General features: G+C 48.9%; 1 protein-coding gene across 17 annotated transcripts in view, besides 3 other annotated features; it reads right to left on the reverse strand.

Annotated features, from left to right (window-relative positions):
• Positions 1-23197, reverse strand: part of TMCO4 (transmembrane and coiled-coil domains 4) — a 117677-nt gene that overhangs the window by 52179 nt on the left and 42301 nt on the right. For 15 of the 17 annotated variants that reach the window (NM_001349112.3, XM_011541185.4, XM_047416926.1 and 12 more), the window contains 7 exons: positions 21216-21348; positions 12745-12842; positions 12038-12181; positions 11114-11233; positions 6359-6523; positions 5406-5542; positions 2954-3038 (listed from right to left, as the gene is read on the reverse strand). In NM_001349112.3, the coding sequence (NP_001336041.1) occupies positions 2954-3038; positions 5406-5542; positions 6359-6523; positions 11114-11233; positions 12038-12181; positions 12745-12842; positions 21216-21348 (882 nt within the window). Of the gene's footprint in view, positions 1-2953; positions 3039-5405; positions 5543-6358; positions 6524-8900; positions 11234-12037; positions 12182-12744; positions 12843-21215; positions 21349-23197 lie in introns of those variants that run through there. The other 2 variants (XM_047416933.1, NM_001349115.1) reach the window with 2 other exon arrangements.
• Positions 5998-6499: an enhancer, noted in NCBI's record as "H3K4me1 hESC enhancer chr1:20066909-20067410 (GRCh37/hg19 assembly coordinates)". NCBI's record gives its function as "activates a minimal SCP1, AML or CMV promoter by ChIP-STARR-seq in naive H9 embryonic stem cells {active_cell/tissue: H9 hESC(naive)}" and the evidence as "EXISTENCE:reporter gene assay evidence [ECO:0000049][PMID:30033119]".
• Positions 6500-6999: an enhancer, noted in NCBI's record as "H3K4me1 hESC enhancer chr1:20067411-20067910 (GRCh37/hg19 assembly coordinates)". NCBI's record gives its function as "activates a minimal SCP1, AML or CMV promoter by ChIP-STARR-seq in naive H9 embryonic stem cells {active_cell/tissue: H9 hESC(naive)}" and the evidence as "EXISTENCE:reporter gene assay evidence [ECO:0000049][PMID:30033119]".
• Positions 15547-16746: an enhancer, noted in NCBI's record as "BRD4-independent group 4 enhancer chr1:20076458-20077657 (GRCh37/hg19 assembly coordinates)". NCBI's record gives its function as "activates an origin of replication core promoter dependent on BRD2, P300/CBP, MED14 and CDK7 cofactors, and independent of BRD4, by STARR-seq in HCT116 cells {active_cell/tissue: HCT116}" and the evidence as "EXISTENCE:reporter gene assay evidence [ECO:0000049][PMID:35650434]".

A 23197-nucleotide genomic window follows, 5' to 3' on the forward strand; every position in this document is an offset into this window, starting at 1 on the left:
CTGTAGGGTGCCCAGCACCAGTGCCCCCGGGTCCTCCTTGGCAGGATCCACTCAGTTACTCATTCACTCCACAGTTTAAAGACCTCAATCTTTCCCCAGCGTTGAACCAGTTGTTTCCAACTCCTTAGCCTGGCACAGTGCCAGGCTCCCACCCTGACCTATTAGCATTTCCCACCAACCCACCTGGGGGGCCTCTTACGTGGGCTGCAGAGACACCAGATGCCACCGTTTCTAGACACCCCTGAGAGCCCCGCCTTTGCCCATGCTGGCCGACCCTCTGGAATGCCCTGCCCTAGTCCAGCTGCCGTCTGCCAAATACAGCATAGTGGTTAGGAGTGAGGGCTCCAGGGCCAGACTCCCTGGGCCTGAATCCTGGCTCTGGCACTTAGGATTCTTGTGGCTTCACCTCTCAGCCTCAGTTTTCTCATCTGAAGCAGGGAGACTGGTGGAACCTCCCTCCTGTGGCTGCAGTGAGGGAGGAATGTGATCACACTTGCAAGTGCTTGGAACACAGCCTGGCACCCGGTGGATCTGCACTAGCTCGTGGGCACAGCAGCATGTGCCTGATTCCCTCACCCAAAGTCCAGCTCCTTCATCTTCCTGACCACTCACAGTGCACTGGGCACTGTGCTGGGCACTAGGGGGGCGGCAGGGCTCAAGGCAGACCCTGCCTACCTGGACTTCACATCTAATGTGAGGCTGGAGAGCGGACACAAAATGACAAGTTCTGACATCTACACAACACTCACCACAGTTCCCTGTGCACAGTAGGTCCTCAGGTTGGAATTCAGAGGACATTTACTGAGTGTACCCAAACTGGGGCCAGGAATTCTCACATTCGTTATGTCATCCCCCCATGATCCTTTGAGATAAGTGTACAAAGCTCATATCCTTTGAGGAAGCTGAGGCCCAGAGAGGTTAAGTGACTAGCCCAAGGTCCGACAGCCAGTCAGTGGCAAAGCTAGGAGCCAAATCCAGGTCTGCCTAATATCAAAACCCAAAATCTCAGCTATGGGCCATGAGGATCCAGGGGTGGGAGCAGCGAGCAGGAAAGATGCTGGAAGGAAGCTGCTTTGGGAACCATCCCCCAAAAGGCTGTAGTGCAGGAACTTCCCAGTGTCACACAAACCAGCCCTGTCACCAAGAAGCCACCTGCCTCCCTCTTCCCTCTTTCCAGTTTCCAGCCTCACATTCTGGGGACAGCTGAGAGTCGACCTCACTTCCGGTTACCACAGCCAAATGGTTCATGGTAATTAATTCAATTTGTTTGGCAGGGGAATTAAAGTCTTGCCTGTACTAACGATCTTAAGTTAACATAGCATTTATGCTAACTGGAGGCAGAGACATGCCCTCTGAATGAAGAATTGGTTCTATTAATAAGACTACATCTCTCTAGGTAACGAGCCTGGCAGATAGACGGTTTGCTGCCAGAGAGGGAAAGATGACAAGGAAAGAAGCAAAATGATGACAGCAGAGAGGATGGCAACTTTTCAAAGGCTTCCCTGGGAAAAGTAGATTTGGAGAGCAGGGAGGAGTCTGCATTGGCCGACAACCAGCACCGATGGCCAGATACACGAATGAGGTCAACTTGGACCTCCTGGGTGTTCCAGCTCTGACTACAACTGCATGACTAAGCCCAGGCAGGAGAGGCAAATGGTCTTGCCAACTCATAGAATCGTGAGAAATGATCAGTTATTGCTGCTTTTGGCCACCGTGTTTGGAGAGGCCGTTTTGCAGCAACAAATAACAATCATGGTGGAGGGCAAAGGAGAAGTAAAGGCACGTCGTACATGGTGGCAGGCAAGAGAACGCGTGCAGGGGAACTGCCCTTTATAAAACCATCAGCTCTCATGAGACTTATTCACTATCATGGAAACAGCATGGGGAAAACCCACCCCCCTGATTCAATTACCTCCCACCGGGTCCCTCCCATGACCCATGTGGATTGTGGGAGCCACAATTCAAGATGAGATTTGGGTGAGGACACAACCAAATCATATTAAGCTCCAATCCTTCTCTCCCATCCACCCTCCACTCCCAGGTTCAACAATTTCTCTCTGAGTTCCTCCTCTTGCCTTCAGAGTCCTGCCGCTGCTACCTTCCACTGAGAGGAGGTGAGCCCATGTTCCAGGAGCAGTGAACCACTCCAAGTGCCCCAGGCTCGGCAACTCACTCTCCCAACCAGCCCCTCCACAGGCAGCCCCTGCTGACAGATCTGTCCAAAACCAGCATTCTGCCCTGGAGACCTCACCTACCCAAGGCCAGGAGCAGCAGCCCTCAAGCTTTTCACTGCCTTGCACAGAAAGGATGACACTGGAGGCATGACACACTCCCAAAGGTGTCTGTGTGTGGTTGAATGGTGAACCCCCAGAAGATATGTCCACCCAGAACCTGTGAATGCGACCTCATCTGGTAAAAGGGTCGTTGCAGATATAATTAAGTAAATGATCTTGACATGGGATCACCCTGGATGAGAGTGGGCCCTAAATCCAATGACTCTGTCTGTCCTTATGAGAGAAGACAACAGGCAGAGACTGGAATGACATGTCTACAAGCCAAGGAATGCTAAGGACTGCTGGCAGCCACAAGAAGTTGGAAGAGACAGGAAAAATCCTCCACTAGAGCCTTCAGAGGGAAAGTGCACCTGCCAACACCTTAATTTTGAATTTCTTGTCCCCTTCATTCCCACTTGGGAAAGTGCATTAGAACACAAAAGCCAGTGTCATTATTACAGGATGGTCCATCTTGCATCTACTCTAATGTATGTATATAAAATCATTTCCCCAAGGTTGATGACGATTTTTCTTGATTTTTAAACTATTTTTAACTTTTAACTATTATTTCTAAGAACTGGGAACACATTTTGCAAGGCTCATGGCCCCTGGCCCAGAACATCTGTCCCTGGGAACAAGCTTGTGAAGGGTTTCCGTCTGTGACAATAATCCATGCTCACCTTTCTCTTGAGCCATCTCCTGCAGACAGAAGTAGATGACTCTGGCTCCCAGGCTGAAGCCAATCAAGGTGACAGGTCGTCGCCCCTGAAGGGAAAAAGGACACAGGTGTCTGGAAGGAATACTGCCAGTTCTAGCAAAACATCAGGCCTGAGGAGGGCAGCCTTTGCACATTCCTTACCACCTGATTCTCATCTAATGAATCATGCATGTGCTGTTCCGGTCCCTGAGCGCTGATGTCTTAATCAGCAGAGTCAGGACCCTCATTTATGCAGGAGTGCACCTGCTGCTGGAATTGGCTTCCTCCAAGGCCAACAGGCAGCCCCCGGCTGGGTTAATTCCCTTTCATCTCAAATCATTATCCAGCCACCGTCTCATCTTCCCCAGGAGACAGGGCTAGTCAATTACAAGAGCAACTTCCCTTGCACTGATCTGCCTTGCGGCAAATGGCTGCAGTGCTGCGGGACCCCTTCCGGAGCTGGGGAGATTAGACAGAAGGCACCCCCAGGTGTGAGGGGTAAAAAGGCAAGAGTGACAAGGGAGGGACAACAGTTCAGTTTCTAGATAGGAAGGTGGGGCACAAAATATTGGCTCTAAGTGATAAGATAAGGTAGTAAGTCAGATGGAAAGAGGAATTTTCTGACTCAAGGACTTGTAAGAAAAGGTAACTGATCATGTCAAGACTCTAAAGAAAATGAAAGTTATCTGGGGGTGTTTGGGTACAAGCTTACATGGAAGGAGAGGAGGGGAGTGGATGAGCTCTGGAGGCCCAGCCTGGTTTTACCAGTCTATTCCTTTTCCTTGGTTTTGTGCCAATACACGTATTCCACATCCCCACACCACTCCACTTACCACAGTAGAAAATCCTCTGTTAAACAGTATTCGAATCCTGCAGGAGCTTTGTGCCAACCCTGCTGGCCACTGCCCAATATCATTCTCCCCTTTGTCCTTTACTCCTGAGTTTGACTGGGCACACGGCCACCCAGCCAAAGACGAAGTTTCCCTGACTCCTCCGTAGCTTGAGGTGGCCACAGGGCTGAGACTTAGCACAGGGCAAGGAAAGGGGATCCTCCCTAAGGCATGCATTTTTGCCTTTTGACCTCCAGAGCTGTAAAATAGTACATTTGTTTTCAGCTGGTAAATTTGTGGTAATTTGTAACAGTGGCAGCAGGAAACTAACACATCATCTTGCTCCAGATATTGACACCCAGACTCTTACTTGGGAGAGAACAAAATTCTATCTTGTCTAAGCCAATGCCACTTTGGCCTTTGCCTTAGAGTCAAGCCTGCCGAAGGATTTTCTGTTTCTTTTGACAAAGACGCAGGGATTGAAGGGGGTGGCCAGTTGCTCAAGCAGTTTAGCTGCATGGCAGAAACTGCTAGTTGTCATCCCTCAATATCCATCCTCCCTTTTTTCCATAGTAATTGAATTTCAGCTGGGTTCATCATCACTCAGAATAAATACTATATTTCCCAGCTTCTGTGGCAGCTAGGAATGGTCATGTGACTAGGCTCTGGCCAGTGAGACACCAACTGAAATGTTGTAAGGCTTTGCTGTTTCTTCTTCAGTTCTTCCTTTCTCCTGCTCCCTGGAGCTCGGATGATGCCATCTTTGATACAAGGTCAAGACCCCAGAGCAACAAGGTAGCAGGAACCTGGGCCTCTGCACCATGGAAGGCTATTAGACAACCTTGCTAGGCTTCTCCAGGAAAATAAATTTCTACCTTGTTTAAGCCACTGTTATTTTGGGTTTTCTCCCACTTCCAGCCAAAACAAATCCTGACAATGCAGTCATTTCTGGTACTGCTTCTCAAGCTTTTGTCTCCATTCACTCAAGTTTTATTCTGAAGGGGATGGTTTTATTCTCTTGGTAAGTACATCTTTACTAGATTCAAATTTTAAAAGTATTATGATGATGTCTCTTCCTAACCATTTTACATGGTATTTAGACCACCAAAGATGACCTCACAAAGTAGCTTTATACTTCTGGGAAGGAACACCAGGCCACCAGCATGTGGGAATTCCATTGGTGGCCAGCTGAAGCACCTGGTCTCATTCACTTTACTGGCTTCACTGCAAACTGCGTCAGAGGTTTCCACTGAAATATCACCCAAATGAGCCCAGTGATTATCCTAAACACTTGAATGAAGAGCTGATACATAGGAGCCACTTTTGCTTCTGCCAGAGTCCCCCAGACTTGTTCCTACCTGCAGATGCCCTGTTATTCAGTCCTTACCTAAATACCTGCTAGAGCTGCAGAGTCTATAATTTTTACTGTTCATCCTAGGACACATTCATTACTTGAACTGGAGAGGCAGCAAGGACTGCCCACACCCCCAAAACCATTGAGTTATCTCCAAGTAGCCTTGCCTCTAAGGCTGATATCTGTGAACAAGTCAGCACCTGACTTCCCCTCTTGCTCAATGCCACGCCCACACAGCCATTCCCAGGTACCTGCTGCCGGGAGAGCAGGATGTGGGCCAGGTGCTTGCCAACCTCTGCTGATCGATGGAGACACACCCCCCAGGGGTTGTCGATGACATTGGCGACACTGAGGAGTGAGGCTGGCCAGGTCAGGGCAGCCACAATGCCTGGGGAGGTGAGATAGTGATGAAGGGAATGGCCCCTGTCCTAGGGTCCTACTAGGGAAGTGACTGGCTAACAGATGCTCAAATAAATGCATGCAGTCTCCAACTTGGACCTGCAAGTTTGCCAATCAAACTGCTAAAGAACAAAGAAATCCGAAACTCATGAATTTCTGATATATGGACTCAATCCCTTCTGCTCAAGCCCTTGTCACGTGTGAGATGGCCCCAATTCGTCTCCACACCCTGTACCCTCCCACTTTGCTTCATAACTCTGCAGTGGGGACCCCTGCCCTGCCCATCCCCTCTAGACTCAGCCATGTGACTTGCTTTTGCCAAAGACATTAATAGATGTGAGGCTTGAAATGGATTTGTGCACCAGGGCTAGCCTCTTGCGCTTCTATCATTGACATGGGCTTGCCTGCTCATCCCAGGAGGATGAGAGACAAATGGAGCAGAGCTGAGTTGCCCCAGACAAGGCTAGCATTGATCGGTGGATGGTTGGCTGACCCACAGGCCTAGCTAAGATCCACCAACTCCAGCCTCCTGAGCTATTACAGTAAACATCCCATGGAGTTTTGGGGTGGCTTGTCCCACAGCAATAGCTAACGGACTGATCATGTGATTGGCTGTTTACCTGTCTTCTCTCCATAGGGATCATAAACTTCCCCCAGACAGGAATGCGGCCTTAACCTCTCTGTGTTCCTAGGGTCCAGCACGGTGCCTGCCCTGGGGGCTTTGGGCATGCAAAACTATGGTACCACTGTGTTGGGATGAAGGCAGTGGGCATGCTGTTGTTGGGGGGCAGGTGGGGGCACTTACCAGACAACACTGTGTACTTTAGGGCCTCCTGGGCCACCATGTTGGCGAGACCACTGAGGATGGTCTCCAGGGCATTGCCGAGCTCCATCAGGTACTTGGCTTCCCAGGCCAGGCAGTACTGCTCACGGCTGTGGGCCAGGGCAGCCCACGGGGCACTGAAGGTGCCTGGGGAGATCACAGGTAGGTGAAGTCTCTCTTGTCTATGGCAGAGGATGCCCCACCCCAGTACCCCAGACAAGGAGCACCAGGACCACTCACCCTTGTGTGGAAGACAAGAGGCCCACCCCCTGCCAATGAGTGGCAGCTGTCAGCAGAGCTAGCGGAGCTCTGTGCAGCCCAGTGAGTCAGCAGGCTGGGCTGGAATCCCAGCTCCTGCATTCACTAGAAGCCAGGTGACCCTGGGCACATCACTATCCCACCTTGTGCCTCACTTTGCTTCTATGTGAAGTGGGGAGATGGTTTATCTCCCTTCATAGGGTAGGTATAAGAATGAAATGTGTTTGAACTATGATATATGTAAAGGGTTATTTTCTCTAATGCTGAAATAATTCTGGCATTAAGCTGCTAATGACATACAACGAGAGCATACAATGGGACAAGCAGCACAGCGCTGTGAGTCTGCTGCATCTTGATTTAACAAACATGGCCTGGGAGATAGCTAGAAATTTGGGGAAGAGATGTTTGAGCCCGGCTCTGTTATGATCTTGCGGGGTCATTCAATTTTTCTGAGCCTCAATTTTCTCACTGAGGAAATATATCAAATGACCCACGGAAGGAGGATGAGACAGCACCACTGTAGCGGCCGATGCCAAGTCGGAAAGTATAACCATGACACCTGCCTCCCTCATCCCCTCCTTCCTTGCCCACCTGGCTGCCTTCAGTATAGGAGCACAGAGGGGCACCTAATCTGGCCCCCACGTATTTCTGCTTGTGGCCCAAGTGGCTTTTCTTTTCTTTCTTTCTTTCTTTTTTTTTTTTGAGACAGAGTTTTGCTTTGTTTCCCAGGCTGGAGTGTAGTGGCACGATCTCGGTTCACTGCAACCTCCGCCTCCCAGGTTCAAGTGATTCTCCTGCCTCAGCCTCCTGAGTAGCTGGAATTACAGGCACCCACCACCAAACCTGGCTAATTTTTGTGTATTTTCAGTAGAGACGGGGTTTCATCATATTGGCCAGGCTGGTCTCGAACTCCTGACCTCAAGTGATCCACCCGCCTCGGCCTCCCAAGTGCTGGAATTATAGGCGTGAACCACTGCGCCCGGCGAAAGTGACTTTTTCAAAACACAAATCTTCTCCCATTCCTGCCTAAAACCCTTCATGAGCTCCCAGATCGTACATCAGTTCCCCTAGATCACTACCACTTGCCCTTGAGATTCCAGTCCAATCGCCTCTTCCACGGGGAAGCCTTCCCGGCTCCTCTGACAAAACAAATGCACCCTCCACTTTTCCCCATAAGTTCTTATCACAGTCTGCAATTATTCGCTATTTATGCATCCTGTTTGACGTGTGCCTCTCCTACAGTCTGCTTTGCCAAGCACTGTATTCCCAAAGCCTGGTGATGTGATGTACAGTAAGTGCTCATTAAACACCATGTGGGAATGGAGGGGTGGAGACAGCTTCCCGGGGCAGCCTGCAGGTTCTGAGCATCAACCTCAGGCCTCTACCTGCCTGCTCCAAAGCTCATCCTTACCTGCAGGGTACCACGTCCGCACAAGGACAATACTACAGCTGCCCCCCTCCCTCTGGGGGGACCCTGTCTCAGCTCTGCAACAACTTGGGGATCAACTGCCTCTAATTATGGATAAGGTGATAGTCAGCCCCAAGAGAGGAGATGGGCACAGGACAGCGAGAAGCACAGGCTTGATGTCAGCCTGGGTTCCAAACCCAGCTCGATGGCTTCCACGGGTGTGACCCACAGCAAGGCACCATGCCCTTCTGACCCTTGGTTTCCACATTTGTAAGGATGGAATAATAACATCTGACTCAGGTGTGGTGGGGATCACAGGAGATGCTGCATAAAAGGTGTTGTATACTTTGGGAGGCCGAGGCGGGTGGATCATGAGGTGAAGGGATCAAGACCATCCTGGCCAACATGGTGAAACCCCGTCTCTACTAAAATTACAAAAACTAGCCGGGCGTGGTGGCACATGCCTGTAATCCCAGCTACTCTCGAGGCTGAGGCAGGAGAATCGCTAGAACCCGGGAGGCGGAGGTTGCAGTGAGCCAAGATCGCGCCACTGCACTCCAGCCTGGTGATACAGCAAGACTCCGTCTCCAAAAGAAAATAAAAATAAAAAAAATAAAAAGGCGTTGTATAAACTGTAAAGTGCTCTACTGCATTGTGCTGTCCTATGGCCAAGAATATGGGCTGGAGCCAGATAGAATGGGGGTGAATCCTGCCCCTGCCCCTGACTAGCTGGGTGACCCTGGGCACCCCTTATAAGCCTCAGTTTCCTCATCTGGAAAAGGGGAGTGCGAATGACAGCCACTTCCCTGGACTGAAGTGAGGAGCTAAATGAGCCAGTGCATAGGAAGGGCTTGGTGGTTGGCTACAAAGTTTTTATCTTTATTGTACATAATCAAGATTAATAAAGGGGTGGTCCAAAGAAAGTCCGGTCATTCCTATCACATGGAAAAAGCAATCAGGTGATGATAAGGCTTCTTTTCCTGGCTCTCGAGGAGGTAGGAATATGTGATATTTTTTCCTTCTGAAACTTTCTCTAGCTTGGTTGTATTTCTTTTACCCAGCCCTTTCCCTGAGTGTCCCACACTAGACAGCTGGAGATCAGTGAAGACTTTCCTCATCCCCAAATGAACTTGACCTTTAACCCGGGGCAAACTGAACAAATAGGGGCAAACTGAACAAGTGGGGGCAAAATGAAGAAAGGAGTTTGCTTTCCATGCCGGCCAGACTTGCAAATTCCTTTACCTGGGCTCTTGTTCTTGCTCCTTCCTGTAGCACGGTAAAATGAAAACAAATGAAAAACCCTGGGCATTGGATCAGGAGACCTGGGTTTGAATTGTGCATCTGCTACTCCCCTGCCAGGGTTCCTCTTCCAACAGATCAGGGTCAGAACAGCCCCACCTTGGAGGGTGGAAGTGAAGTTTCTAGGAGGTAACCATACCAAGTTCCTACTATGCTGGTAAAATGCCAGACTCAAGGTAGGTGTGAACGAGGCGCTCACTGAACGCTAGTGACCTCTGTGCATGGGTGGTGCCCGGCGGTCACACACCAATAAGACCCTGGCGCCTGGTGACACCTCTAAATGTTTCTCACTGGCTTTCTTCTGTGTGGTTTGGCAGATCTGTGACTTCTGCCCTTAGGTCAGAGACTTGGGAACCCAGGAGGCTCTGGGCAGGCGTGCCTGAGTGGTCAGGTTGGGACGTTTAGGATTCCCGCACCCACCCTGCTCTTTTTCTAAGGGATGCACTGTTTGTTGTTTGTTGAGCCTCTCGCTGGGCACTTGCAGGGGTCAAGTAACAAGTGGACCATGGTGTGAGTCCTCAATGCCACCCTGGCTAGAATCCCCCAAAATATGCATGTTCAAATGAGAACAGCAAAGGGAACTAATGTTTGCTTCATGCCAACGAGAAACCACGTGATGTTCCTCACTTAATCTTTGCAGCATCCTGAAAAGGTGGCAGTAATTTGTTCCACTTTACAAATGAAGTAGCTGAGATACAGAGAAGTTATGTAACTTGCTGAGGTCATGTAGCCAACACATACTGATCTCTCACTCACATGCTGAAAGTCCTTTGCTCTCTTCCACTTGCTCTGAGGACAAATTCAAACTTCTTGCCACAGCTCACATGCCCCTGTGTGGTCTGGCTCCACCCACATTCCTGCCTTCTGCCTCCCTGCTGCAGCCATCCTGTGCTCTTTTGGTTCTTTCAAACCGCTGGGCCTTTGCACCTGCTGTCCCTTTGCTTGGAATACACTTTCTGCTCCTGGTTTATCGGGCTAACTCCCAGCTAGCCCTTAGCCTAATGTCACTTCCTTCAGAACCTTCCCCAGAAACACCCTGTGCTTCCCCTATTGTGCCATCCATAAAGCTCCCATTTAGTTACTCGGTCTGTCTTCTATCTTGGGCTGTATGTTCTGTGGGAGTAGAGGCCATGGCTGTGCTGCTCACCACTGAATTCCTAAGACCTGGTTCAGTATATGACACATGGTAAGTACAGCACTTTATAAATACCGCTACATGGACAGAGAGGTGGATGGGTGGATGGATGAACAGATGGGTGGGCAGATGGGTGGGTGAATGGACAGACAGGTGGGTGGGTGGATGGGTGGATAGGTAGAAGGGTGGATGGATGAATGGATGGGTGGGTGCATGGATAGATAGGTAGAAGTGTGGATGGATGCATGGGTTCATGGGTGGGTAGACAGGTGAGTGGGTGGACAGGTAGACAGGTAGAAGAGTAGATGGATGGATGGATAGATAGAAGGGTGGTTAAGTGGGTGGGTAGATGGATGAACAGGTGGGTGGATGGATGGGTAAACAGGTAAAAGGGTGGGTGGGTGGGTAGGTGGATGGGTGGATGGACAGGTGGGTAGGTGGATAGATGGATGGCGAGATGATGGGCAGGTGGACAGATGTGAGATGAAGTTGCCTCACCTCTCTGAGCCTCAGTTTCTTCCTCTGCGAAATGGGGCTCCCTATACCTGCTCCCTAGTGCAGGTAAAAACCTAGCCCAGGGTCTGGCCCAGGCCACCACTGCCCACCCCCCTCCACTTCTGGTCCTCCTGGTCCTCACGGTATTTGCCAGAAGCGAGCCACCCCGTGACGGCGATGGTGATGTGCAGCTGCCTGCCCTCCGTCAGAGGCAGAAACGTGAACTCTTCAATGGCTCCCACTCGCTTCTTCATCTTGTATCCTAAAGACCCAGATCCGAGAAAGAGAATGGAGGTGACTGGGGCCCCGGGGAACATCAGGGTGGCTGTATGTTCTCACACATGCACACAGTGAGCACCATCTGTGTGCCCTGCCCCTGGAAAAACACATTTTGTGTTTGAACTCATTAAGGTAGGTGCCACTATTGTCCCTGATTACAGACGAAAGCAAGAAGCTGCTTCTGAGGCTGGCCAGCCCCCGAGCGGTAGAGCTGGTTTGGACCTCAGAGCCCAGGCTCTCACCCATTGCTCTGCCCTGGTTCTGTTTCTTTTCTCCTGCCCACACACCGCAGGGGTAGAACACACTCCACTTAGTAACAGTGAATCAAACAGACCAAGAGTCTCATCAGGGGAGCAAACTTCTCTTGGGGAGTTGAACAGGAATGTCTGTGCATGACGAGGTTGGAGGAGTGGGAGGGGGGCTGCTGCTGACAGATATCATTTGGAAAAACTCCCCCAGGTGATGCTGCTCAGGGAAGGGCAGCCATGTTCCCTCCAAACATGAGGAAGCCCAAGCATGGAAACTTCTGGATGGTGGAAGCAGGTTCCACTGGGGCCTTTCTCAGGAACTACACACAAGGTGCATGGGGAAAAAGCCAGCTTCTCAAACTCAGCCCTTACCCTGACCCACGCGAGCTCTGGGAAGGCTGGGACCCAGAGTGAGAAAAGCCACGTCTCCTCTGTCTCCCAGGGAGTCACTGCTGGTGAGGATCCAGGCATGTCCTTTTAGGAACTGGGCCACCCTGGCTGAAAATTCCTCTGAACCCATCATTCCTTTTGAACCTTACCTGTCAGGCCAGCTCCAGCTGCACCAAACAGCGAGGTCATGATGGCTATGCCGGCTGCTGAGCCCAGAGCCGCTGCCCCGGCGCTGCCAATAATCGTCGCTGCTCCAGCGGCAACAAGGGGTGCAGCTAGACCTCCAGTCACACCTGTGGGAAAAGCAGCAGTTTCAGGTGGGAGTAAAAATGTGGTGGCTGGACGCGGTGGCTCACGCCTGTAATCCCAGCACTTTGGGAGGCCGAGGTGGGCGGATCACGAGGTCAGGAGATCGAGACTATCCTGGCTAACACGGTGAAACCTCATCTCTACTAAAAACACAAAAAATTAGCCGGGCATGGTGGCAGGCGCCTGTAATCCCAGCTACTCGGGAGGCTGAGGCAGAAGAATGGCATGAACCTCGGAGGCGGAGCTTGCAGTGAGCCGAGATCATGCCACTGCACTCCAGCCTGGGCGACAGAGCAAGATACTGTCTCAAAAAAAAAAAAAAAAAAAAAACGTGGCTTGATGAGTTTTTACCCCTCAGCTACCTACTGCCTCCCATGGAAGTTTCTGACAGTGCTGATGAGCACACCGACTACTCACTGACTACCTACCACATGCCAGGGGCCACCTCCCAGCTGAGCCCCTGCACTCTCCACTCTCACCCACAGCCTGGCATCATTTCTCTGTCTACAAAACCCAGACGTGTGCCACCATCTCTAGCTGGACTCACCGATCACCGTTCCGCCTCCGACAGTCGCCAGGCCTATCAGGAGATAACGCTTCCATTTCCTCCGGTTTTCTTTCTTCTTTCGGGATGCCTCGGCCATTCTGAGGGAAAAGAGGCTGGTCTTTAGGGCCAGCTGTGCCCAGGATCCCTTGAGACATCCCCACCACACCAACCCTCAAACAGGGGCCAATGCTGGGTAGCTACTCTGCCACTCAGAGTAAGGCACCAAAGTCACCTTGAGCCCACTGATGGTTTAAAAAGCTGAAAACATTCTAAAACCCAGCCGGGGAATCTCAGTGTATGGGATGTACTACTTACCCAATGGATCCATCCTAACAGGGTTGCAATTTGAATAATAAAAAGACAAAAAATAATAATAGCAAGAGAAGCACAAAAAAGATCTTTAAACAGATGGACCCAGAAGAAGCACAAAATAGATAATCACAGACTCCATCACCTCCCTCCTCCCCTCCCTTCTTCCCCAACCTGCCATCTGATCCCACCTCCCTCTGGGATATTTGGAAACCAATTTCCTCCAAAATGATCATTTTGAAGATGGGAGACCTTGGCCTTGGAGCAGTAGCTAGACTTGTTCAGACTTGAAATGGAAATGCTAGAAAATCTAGCAAAAGGAAAACATTTAGAGTGAATTGGGGTCAGGTGTGCCCTGAGAACTGCTGTTGTGAGCACTCAAGAGTCAGGAAGCCCAATTTTCCTATTGGACATTCAGCCCTGAGCCCCTTTGCTGCGGCTGGGATGGAGAGGTTATTAAGTAGGAACTCTGAACTGAGGTTGGAGTCTGAACAATAACTCAGTGTGGAGTGATAGCAAAGCATGGTGATAATCAAAGAAGAAAAATGGTTAATCTTTACCAAGGGCTTCTTATATCTCAGCCACTGGGCTTTGCACTTCACAGGATTAATCTTATCCTAAGAAGCAGTATGGTTATTGTACCCATATTATAGATGAATTAAGGGATAACAGTCACTACCTCCCCATGAACTGTGAGGATCCAGAAATAGATTATCTGTAAAGCATTTAGCATGGCGGCGGGCACACTGCAAGTGCTCAGCGCAACTGGGGCTGATGTCATCACGATGCTGCATCTCCCCAAGCCTCAGTTTCCTCTTTTGTCAAAAGGCGGACACTAATTTCTACCTCATAAAGTTGTTGGCTTGTAAGGATTAAATTCATTCGTTCTTCGTCCATTCAGTCAATAAAGTTATATTGAGAATGGATGGCATGCTGTGCTTTCCCATCTCCTTGAGCAGAAAAATGTATGTGCTCAACCAGTACCTGTTTCCTTCCCATCTCCCTCCTTGTGAACCATACATTTTATTGAGAAATAGCTTCTTCTCCAGTCATCTAAAAGAAATGGGATTTGGCCAGGTATGGTGGCTCACACCTGTAAACCCAGCACTTTGGGAGGCCGAGGCAGGTGGATCACCTGAGGTCAGGAGTTTGAGACCAGCCTGGCCAATATGGTGAAACCCCATCTCTACTAAAAACACAAAAATTAGCCAGGCGTGGGGGCAGGCGCCTGTAATTCCAGCTACTCAGGAGGCTGAGGCAGGAGAATTACTTGAACCCAGGAGGAGGAGGTTGCAGAGAGCTGAGATCCCACCACTGCACTCCAGCTTGGGAACAGAGTGAGACCCTGTCTCGAATGAATGAGTGAATGAATGAATGAATGAATGAAATAAAATACATAAGTAAACAAAATGGGATTTCAGTTGGGCATCTGGGGACCTGCTGTGCTTTTTGGTTCCCTGCCCGTTCACCTCAACAGGTTTTTTTCCTAAGCATCTCCTGGGTGTAAAGCCCAGTGTTTCTCAGTCACTTCATTACACAGAAGCAGAAAGCAACAGTAAAAATCTCTGTGCATATCATGATACTGGTTTTCCACAACTGAAATTCATGTCATCAGTGGTGTGGGATGAGGCTGAACCATGTGCATCTAGCACAGTGGGAGGCAGGAGGGCCATCAAGATCGAGGGTTCTAATGTCAGGATTCAAACTCTGTGGATGTAGGCATGAATCCTAGCTCTGCTGTTGTGGTAGCTGTATCACGATTCACCACATATTCAGTTATCCCTCTCTGCAGAAAGATTATGCATCCCTGCCCTGTCAAACTGAGTGGTCATAGGACCAGCTTTAGCCAAATGTAGGTGGAGGTGATATGTGTCACTTCTGGCAGAATCTTTTTTTTTTTCCCTTTCTTTTTTTGAGACAAGGCCTGGCTCTGTCACCCAAGCTGGAGTGCACTGGTGGGATCTTGGCTCACTGCAACCTCCACCTCTCAGGTTCAAGTGGTCCTCCCACCTCGGCCTCCCATGTAGCTGGGATTATAGATATGCACCACCACGCTTGGGTAATTTTTGTACTTTTTGTAGACATGGGGTTTTGCCACGTTGCCCAGGCTGGTCTCAAACTCCTGGGCTCAAGTGATCCACCTGCCTCAGCCTCCCAAAGTGCTGGGACTACAGGTGTGAGCCACCGTGCCGGGACAACTGGTAGAATCTTTAAAGCCAGTGCAGGAAAGTGATTCATCTTCTTTCTCTATGCCCCAAAACCAGCGATAATCTAGATAGGGTCACTCTGTCAGCCTGGGACCCAGAACCAGTACAATGTGAATTCAAGCTACAGCCAATCTGCAATGGACACAAAGTATGAACAAGAAATACACCTTTAATCCTGTAAGCTGCTGAGACTTATTTGGGGGTCACTTGTTATGGCAGCAAAACCTAGCCTATCCCCACAGTGGACAGAACCACTTAATACCTTTGTGACTATGCACAAATTATTTGTCACATCTGAGTTTCCTCAACCTACAAATGGGGATAAAAACAGTACTGAATTTCCAGGGGTATTGTGAGGACTAAATGAGACAGAGACACTGAGACATAGTGACTACCATCCTGTAATTATTCAATATGTTTATTGCTATTATCACTCTTTTCATTATTATTGTAATAATTTCCTCCTCAACACAGGCTGGAGATATACTTTGACCCTGAACTGCCTTGACCCTTAATTGATAACTCTTAAGTCAGTTCCAAGTGGAAGGCTGAAGATTACTGACTTTGGGCAGAGTTCAAGGCCGAAGAAAACATTCAAGTCACTGACGATATACGACGGGAACGTGCAACTAGACAAGCGATGTGGCGCTGAGTCAGCGGCATCTTGATTCAACAAACACGGCCTGGAAATAGTCTGGAAATTTGGGGAAGAGGTGTTTGAGCTCAGCTCTGCCATGAACTTGCTGGATCATCTAATTTTTCTGAGTGTTGATTTTCTCGCTTAGGAAATGTAACTATCAAATGACCCATGGACAGATGATGAGACGGCACCACCGCAGCAGCCAATGCCAAGTATTAATAGAAAAATATAACCATGACTACCTGCCTCTCTCTCCTCTTCCCTCCTTGCCTGCCTGGCTGCCTTCAGGACACTGTCATCTCTCCCCGATGTGACACTTACGCCCTCTGTGTCCTGATCCCTCTCTCCCCCTCTAACACTCATCACTTCCTCACTGACACATCACCCTTGGGAAATACTGAGCTGTCTCCAGTCACCTTCTGGCCCCTGGCCATCAAGGACCTTCCCACCTTCCTGTGACTAGTTCAACATCACTCAACCTTCAGGAGTCAGCCGAGATGGGACATATCCTCCAGGAAGACTGGCCAAAACCCCAAGGTTGCTGAGATGCCCTGACTCTGGGCCCCTTAACCCTCTGTGCCACATTATCCTGGAATTCTACACCAGTGATTTTCAGAGGGTGGGCACCAGAATCACCAGGAGGTACTTGTTAAAAACACAGCTTCCTGGGGCAGAATCTCTGGGTCTAAGGACAAAGATTCTGTATCGTTAACAAGTTCCTCCTCCAGGGATTCTGCTGTAACTCAAGTTTGAAAATTGCTGAGCTAAGCTCTCACAGCACGGACCAAGCCATTTCCAACTCCCCATCCTCAGCAGCTTGCCCTGGGCTTGGAAACTGGAGGGTACTCAGGAAATCTTTCTTGTAAAGAGCCTAATTATTCCAACAAGAATTGGAGGTGACCACCTTGCTGCGGTGATATACTCCCCTACTCACTGTCCACATCTCTGAAAACCAGAGAGGTACAGGATGGACATGTTGGCTAAATAAAAATATATAGGCTGGGCATGGTGGCTCATGCCTGTAATCCTAGCACTTCGGGAGGCTGTGGTGGGAGGATCCCTTCAGCCCAGGAGTTCCAGAACAGCCTGGGCAACAGGGTGAAATGCTGTCCCTAGAAAAATAAAAAAATTAGCCGGGCATGGTGGTGCACACCTGTGGTCCACGCTACTTGGAAGGTTGAGGTGGGAGGATCGCTTGAACCTGCGAGGTCAAGGCTGCAGTGAGCCTCTGCTGCAGTGATCATGCCACTGCACTCCAGTCTGGGTGACAGAGTAAGACTCTGTCTCCCCCATCTCCCTCACAAAAAGTTTGTAAGCATTTGTTGATTTGAAAAGAAGATATTTTTTCCTAAAGTTACTTGGCTAAGGCACTCTCTCCTAACGTTCAGCTGAATGGCCAATCTATTTCCCTGTTTAAGTATTTGCATGTTCTTAATAATTGTTTTGGGGGCCGGGCGTGGTGGCTCGCGCCTGTGGTCCCAGCACTTTGGGAGGCCAAGGCGGGTGGATCACGAGGTCAGGAGATCGAGACCATCCTGGCTAACATGATGAAACCCAGTCTCTACTAAAAATACAAAAAATTAGCTGGGCGTGGTGGCGGGCATCTGTAGTCCCAGCTACTTGGGAGGCTGAGGCAGGAGAATGGCGTGAACCCAGGAGGCGGAGCTTGCAGTGAGCCGAGATGGCGCCACTGCACTCCAGCCTGGGTGACACAGTAAGACTTTGTCTCAAAAAAAAAAAAAATTTTTTTTTTGTACATAAAATAGCTTTCCCAGACATCGTTCATTATTGCAGCACTATACTCTTGCAATTACTTCAGTTGTCTGATTGAATCTCAACATTGAAAGCAAAGGGGAGATGTTTGCTCTGAGTCACATTTACAATGCCTCCTTCCCTTTCCTTGGAAGTGAACACTCAGAGAACAACACTAAATCCGAATGACAGCCTTGTTGTCATCACTGACTGCCTGCTGATTAGATATGACAGCAACCCACACCGTCGTAGTCACGGTCATGCTGAAAAGGCAGAAGCGAACCTGAGCTGCCCAAAGACAAAGGCTGAAACCACATGCAGATTTGGGCCAAATCCCAGGCTGAAGCCAGAGATACCTCCTGAAGAGCAAGACGCCCGCATTGCCCATCTCATAGATCCATAAATCGGTCTTACTCTCTGTCATCTTATCTCCCATAAGAGGGTGTTTTCTGTCCTTATCCTCACCACCACCTTCTGTTTTTAAATCACTTTTTTTTGTGCTGACAGATAGAGAGAGCTTATCACTGAGAGGTCTACAGACACTTTCCTAGTAATGGCCTGGATGACCCCATAAAATCATTATCTTTCTTGTTTTCTTCAGAATTAAGGAGAAACCCTGCCACTGCCAGCCAGGCCTTGAAGGACACAGTGAGAGCCATTCAGACTGGACATCGTGGTCAAATCAGATGCTGCTGGCCAGCCATGCGACCTTGGCTGAGTTATGCCACCCCTCTGACTTTATTTCTTTATTTGTGAAACACTTAGGGGGCTGTTATGAGGATCGAGTGAGATGGCATCTTGTGCCTGCATCTAGTAGGCATTCAGGAAAAATCTGATGCTGGCAACGTTCTTACGATGTGAGCGGTATCTTTCTTTCTTTATTTTTAATTGTAATTTTTTTTTTTTGAGATGGAGTTTCACTCTTGTTGCCCAGGCTGGAGTGCAATGGCATGATCTCGGCTCACTGCAACCTCCGCCTCCTGGGTTCAAGCAATTCTCCTGCCTCAGCCTCCCATGTAGCTGGGATTACAGGCATACGCCATCACACCCAGCTAATTTTTGTATTTTTAGTAGAGACGGGGTTTCACCATGTTGGTCAGGCTGGTCTCGAACTCCTGACCTCTGGTGATCCACCCGCCTCAGCCTCCCAAAGTGCTGGGATTACAGGTGTGAGCCACTGCGCCTGGCCTATGTGAGCAGTATCAACCCCAGCAGCTCATGAGCTCACATCTTCTGAGACTCTACTATGTGCCAAGCACGGGTCCCAGCTTTTGATATGTGTTAAGTAATTTAATCCTCTCAATGCTGATGGCGATACTACCATTATCCTCATGTGAGAGATGAAGAAATGAGGCACAGAGAGGAGAGGTGAAGTCACTAAACAAGTGAGGGAAGCCGGGTGGCCTTAGGGCTCAGACAGGGACCCAGGAGCAGAGGGGTGGTACGTCACACTCTAGACCTCAGCTGCAAAGAGTCACCTTGGTCGGCCCAGTGATGAACTCACCTCCCAGAAACACAAAACCTTACAGTCAAGAGAAATTTACGTATCATTCAATCCCTTAATTGTATAGGTAAAAAAAGAAAATGTGTGCTGGTGTCCAGGGAGGGAAAGACACGTGCCCAAGGCCACACAGAGGGTTAGTAGCAGAATCAAACTGAGAGCCAGGTCTCCTGGCTGAACAGTTGCTATGGCTTCCCTGGGTCTCAGATCCTTCCAGAGACCACAGAATCTGAGAGTCCCTAACGCTGCATAAACAATTACATGTGTGAAGCCTTTTCCTGGGGAAAGAGTCTACATATAGACTACAATAGGGTCTATAATAGTTTATAAAAGGGTCTATAATAACACAATTAGAACAGTATTGTTAACAACAGCAAATAATATTTATGGACTAGTTACTCTGTCCCAGGCTCACTTGAAACACTTCACATATATATGAACTCATCTGGGCCCCACAGGAACTCTGTGAGGAGGGCGCTACTATTATCCCCATTTTACAGGTGAGGAAGTTGAAGCTCAGAGAAGTTAAATAATGCCCAGATTCACATGGCTGGTAAGTGGCAGAACTGGCCTGTATTAGACCTTCTGGTTTATATCTTCCCTGACCTGGGGTTACCGGTATTATCAGAACAAATCGCTCCGGGTAATACGTTTCTCTCTGATAATAAGATTTCCAAATAATAACTGAGAGGTTCCTTAATTTCAAGGCATATAAGATCCTATAAATTCCCGACATATCCAAAGAACCTAGGATGCCCTCGTGATTATGGTAATTGGCATGGATCCAGGTATTTCTATACTGACACAACTCTGGGAGTCAAAGCTAGTATGTCTACAGGTTATTTCAACAAACCAAGTTTCCCCCTTTCTCAAGGAAATACCCCTTTTCTTTGCTCCACTAACCGTGGCATGAGGGTGGCTCTGGGTCTCAATTTGGCTTTAGGATTAAATTCCCAGGTGGGCTGACCTCGGGTAACCTGGCTGGTCAAAGAACACCACGGCAGCTAAAAAAAACCCAGACCTGGGAGACGTGCCTGGTGCCAGGAGCCTGGGATTAGGCTGTGACTGAAATTGATTTATTGCTCTGGGATTAGATCCTGTGTAAAGCGTTCTGCAAAGAGCTGAGCACCGGCCAGGTTACCAGAATTATTTCCTTCTACACATTCTTGACCATATATAGACAGCAAAGCAACTCTACAACTGATGGGTCCGGGACACGTCGGGGAAGGGGAGGATTCACATCTACCAAGCACTTGCTGTGTGCCAGCCCTGGGCCGGGCATTTTATAATGCGCAGACATTCATTCTTCCTAATGATCCTGGGAGGGCACTATCCTTATTCCTGTTTCACAGATAAGAACATTGCAGCTTAAAAAAGCAAGGCCACCCGCCCAATGTCAAGCAGTGGACAGGTATCAGAAACGGGAATTGAATCCAGGTCAATTGTGCCCGTGAACCAGGTGTCATAAGAGCCTGAGGTGGAACAGGGTGTCAGGGCCCCAGGATGTTAAAGTCACAGATTCAAGGCCCTTAGCAATCATTCATTCCATCTTTTCTTTTCTTTTCTTTTTTGAGACAAGAGTCTCACTCTGTCACCCACACTGGAGTGCAGTGGCACAATCTTGGCTCACTGCAACCTCCACCTCCCTGTTTCAAGTGATTCTCCTGGCTCAGCCTCCCGAGTAGCTGGGATTACAGGCACATGCCAGCGTGCCCGGCTAATTTTTGTATTTTTAGTAGAGATGGGGTTTTATCATGTTGGTCAGGCTGGTCTCGAACTCCTGACCTCAAGTGATCCGCCTGCAGGGTGCTGGGATTACAGGCGTAAGCCACCATGCCTGGCACATTTCATCTTTTCTTCTTGCAAATGAAGTCAGAGGCCCAGAGAGGGCAAGTAGCTTGCTAAGGCCACACAGCGAGTCAGGGCTACAGCTGGGACTCTGTCCAGGGCTCCTTCCACCTCACTACACCATCTCTTAAAGGGAGAAGGGGACTCTGTTATCTGCAAAGTACACTGAAGTGGAAATCCTTGGATCCTGATGGGGGTCGCGGGGCTCTCTTACTCAGATTCCTCTTCTTTGATTTCCTTCAGGCTCTCCAGGAACATCTCTTCAAGGACATCCAGCTCCTCCAAGGGCACTTGGAGCAGGGAGGTCATGTGGCAAACGAGGACTCTGGCCCGGGCGTCATAGTGCCCTCGAAAGACAGAAACAACACCGGAAAAGAATCAGTTTAGGTTTTAAGAACAGTGATGTTAGCAGTGTAACTGATAAAACCCACACTAGAAACAGCCTAAATGTACAACCCCATGGGAGCCAGTCAATGAAAAAAATGACACAGTTGCCTGGACAGAATACTATACAACTATTAAAATATTCAGCAAAAGCAAGGTGGGGCTGGGTACGGTGGCTCACTCCTGTAATCCCAGCACTTCGGGGGGCTGAGGCAGGCAGATCGCTTGAGTCCAGGAGTTCAAGACCAGCCTGGGCAACACAGTGAGACCCCCTCACCTCTACAAAAAAATACAAAACTTAGCCAGGCATTGTGGTGCATGCCTGTGGTCCTAGCTACTCAGGGGGCTGATGTAGGAGGATCATGAGCCTAGGAGGTTGAGGCTGCAGTGAGCCGTGATCATGTCACTGCACTCTAGCCTGGGCGACAGAGTGAGACCCTGTCTCAAAAAAGAAAAAAGGAAGGTGGTATTTCTCACCAGTCAAATGCGCAAAGATCAGTTTTTAAAATTTCACAGCTGTGAAGGAGATGATAAAAATGGATGCCCAAAGACATTGCTGGTGGAAGCATGCACTGGTATAAACTTTCTGGAGGGCAACTGGACAATAAGTATCAACAACTTAAAAAAAAATAATCCCCTTTGCCCCAGGAATTCCATTTCTGGAATTGTAATCTTAAGAAAACAACCGTAAATGCAGATGATATTTAGTAAATAAAGGCAGTATGCTGTATTTATAATATGAAATTGGAAACAACCTGGAGATTTCCAACATCAGGAAATTAGTTGAATAACCCACACCCATCCAGCCGAAAACCAAGGGGCCATAAAAAGTGATTCCTAAGAAAAGTATGTAATAACTTTCAAAAATAAGTTCTTACCCAGAAGAATTTATGGCTAAGATAATTTATGGCTAAGTGGTGGTGCGTGCCTATAATCCCAGCTACTTTGGAAGCTGATGGGGGAGGATCACTTGAGCGCAGGAGCTCGAGATCAGCCTGGGCAACATAGCAAGATCTCATCTCAGTAATTGAAAAAAAGGAATAAAAAAGACACAGTTCTGTTTGCATATTATAAATAAAGAAAAAAGGGAAAATAAATGCTTATATAATGAAACAAAATTTTTAATGCATAGAAGAGTGACTTGATAATACGTCATGGGGTCCCAACTAAGAAACAAAACAAAAAACAAATACCACACAGGAAAAAAAAGTGAAGGAGGTCGGGCGCCTGTAATCCCAGCACTTTGGGACACTGAGGTGGGCAGATCACTTGAAGCCAGGAGTTCGAGACCAGCCTGGCCAACATGGTGAAACTCCATCTCTACTAAAAATACAAAAATTAGCCAGGCGTGGTGGCGGGGGGGGGCGCCTGTAATTTCCAGCAACTTGGGAGGCTGAGGCATGAGCCACTGCACCTGGCTGACAATTCAAATTTAGCATCTTACGGTTCTGAAGGCCGGATATTCTAAAATCACAGTGTTAGCAAGGAGAGAATCTGTTTTCTTGCTTTTCCCAGCCTGCTTTCCTTGGCTTGTGGCCCCTCCCTCCAGTCACTCCAGCCTCTGCTCCCATGGTCACATGTCCTGCTCTGACTTAGATCCTCATGTCTCCCTTTTATGAAGACCTTGTGATTGCATTAGGCCTATCTGGAAAGCCCAGGATAGCTTCCCCATCCCAAGATTCTTAATGTAATCACACCTGCAAAGTCCCTTTTGCCATGTAGGGTAACATATTCACAGTTGCCAGGGATTAGGATGTGAACATCTTTGGGGGCCATTATTCCATCACTTAACCCTTGACCTGGCTCAACCAT

This window comes from Homo sapiens, chromosome 1, assembly GCF_000001405.40.
Source record: "Homo sapiens chromosome 1, GRCh38.p14 Primary Assembly".
Lineage (NCBI taxonomy): Eukaryota > Metazoa > Chordata > Mammalia > Primates > Hominidae > Homo > Homo sapiens.